Raw genomic sequence first — 2,193 nt, forward strand, 5'->3', positions numbered from 1 at the left:
TAGTATTCGTGTTAGAACATTGGGTCCCCTGTATAACAGTGATGCAGGCACCACCACCACCATGACAGCAGGAATTACAGCAGGACATTAACTCTAGCCCTGGGTGGCTTTTTCATTGCTGTTTTCCGACAATGATGGGACCTTCTCTCAACACTTCCCCTGATGTGTTCCTGAAGAGAAGTTAGCTAAACCAAAAAACATTCTTCATCATTTTTGTTCACTCAGTTGGCCTAATATTTCCCAAAACCATCTCCAGATTTCAACTGACAAGTTTTCTGCAAGAAAGATGCTTCTCTGGTATCTGCTGAGATCATTTGAAATCATGGTAGAACGCCCAGAATTATGGGCTCTTCTTGAAATTGGATATCATCAAACGAGGTAATTGTTCATTTCTAAGCAGCCTGAAACAGCTTTGTGGTTCTTTGCTTGTGGACAAACAGTTTGCCTTTCCTATTTTTCTTACTGTAGGCACTAATTACAGAACAATTAACAAAAGCCTAAAAGGGTGTAATGGAGAATTTCTAATGAATCCTGACTTATCATGGCTGAAAGAAGACTTGAAGTTGGATTAATGTAGAAACACTGGAATTCTACTGAAGGAGCTGGTGCTTGATTTGATAGAAAAAAAGAATTATTACACTGTTCTATTCCCTTTTTCAGTTTGTAAAACTCCTCAGACAATTGTTTTCTAAGAAAGGATTAAACTCCTATATGAAATGGATTTTGATTTTAAATGATGACACATTCTCTTTCTCAGTCCCATATATATGTGTACAGATATCATATATACACACACATAATCATATATATCATGTATACATATGTGTGCATATATATATACATATGTATGCATATTCAAAGTATTTTTCTATACCTGACTTTAACTTTGTTTTCTTTCAGTAATTTTCACCTTGATTATGATAATATCCATATAAATTTCATTACAAGGTTACTCGTTTATAATTCAGTGAAGTTTTTACTTCATCCCTAAAATGTATTCATTATTAAACTTGGCAGGAAATAAAGGCTAATGCAAGTGCTCATGTATGTACCTGCAGGCACACACACACATACATGCACACACAAATGTCCCACTGTCCACAAAGTAAAATAAAGTACTTTGGATTACCCCTAGCAAAATATGAGAATAGCAAGATAAGACAAAGTAATAAATATAAAGCAAAACTAACAATTCCCATTTTCTAATTTGAAAATAGAAACTTTCCTACTAAAGTAAAAAGCGTTTAGGATAAACTTACATGAACTTGGCATTTCACTTCAAGATAAGTGCCAGTGAACTATCTGGTGGGTATGAAGTGTCTCTGCGTTAAAAAGTTAGAAGTGACTTCAACACTCAATCCACTCACCCCCCTTTTTTTTTTACTACATAAGAAAATTAACACAAAAATGCAATTATGGAAGAACAAAAAGAAAATTAACTTTAGATTTGAATATAGACCTGGGTTGGAATTTTAATTCCAATTAATGTTACTCAATCATGCCTCAGATTCATCTGTAAAAGCAGCAATAACACCTATTGTGCAGGGTAGTTAAAACAATGATATGTGAATATCAAATGAGGCCATACATGGGATATTCCTGGTCCAAATGAGCAGTTTTGGAAGTTACTTTCTCCATATAAACTCTGAGATGGGCACAGATAATAGAGAAAAATTATAGAAGAAAAGGTCGACCTATCAATTAATGTTTGACCTTACTTCTGTAATTCCAAATTCCAACTCTGTTGGTCCCGGTAATAAGACTAAGTACATTTTTCCCCATGTATATAGATCTCTAGCTCTAGTTGCTCCATGCATTTCCAGTTTTCTAGCTAGAAAGGAAAGGAGGAAGAAGGAAAGAGGGAGGGAAGGAATGAATATCTCTTCATTTCCTGTGAGTAGTTGCCACTACACTTGAAGAAATGGGAAATCAACAAAAGAATAAAATATAAATATTGCTGATCCAAGCATCTGCAGCCCATTACCAGCCTCTGCCATGGCAAAATCTATTCTTTTTCTACTTGAGCTCTCTCACTCCAGCTTTTGTTATCTCCCACATTCAGTCTGTTTCTCATCCTCTTCTGGATAATTACAGTAAAAACAAAATTATCACCCAGCAAAGGATGTGTCAATATGTGTGCAAAGTTGATCATGGAAAATAAATAAGACATAAAATAAAAATAAAAATAAAAAA

General features: G+C 34.7%; 1 long non-coding RNA gene across 1 annotated transcript; it reads left to right on the top strand.

Annotated features, from left to right (window-relative positions):
• Positions 1-254: 254 nt before the first annotated feature.
• LOC107986789 (uncharacterized) lies at positions 255-717 on the top strand. Its single transcript, XR_001745187.2, has 2 exons — positions 255-378; positions 469-717. It is a non-coding gene; the product is annotated as an uncharacterized LOC107986789 (long non-coding RNA).
• The last annotated feature ends 1,476 nt before the right edge of the window (positions 718-2,193 follow it).

This window comes from Homo sapiens, chromosome 7 (assembly GCF_000001405.40).
Source record: "Homo sapiens chromosome 7, GRCh38.p14 Primary Assembly".
NCBI lineage: Eukaryota > Metazoa > Chordata > Mammalia > Primates > Hominidae > Homo > Homo sapiens.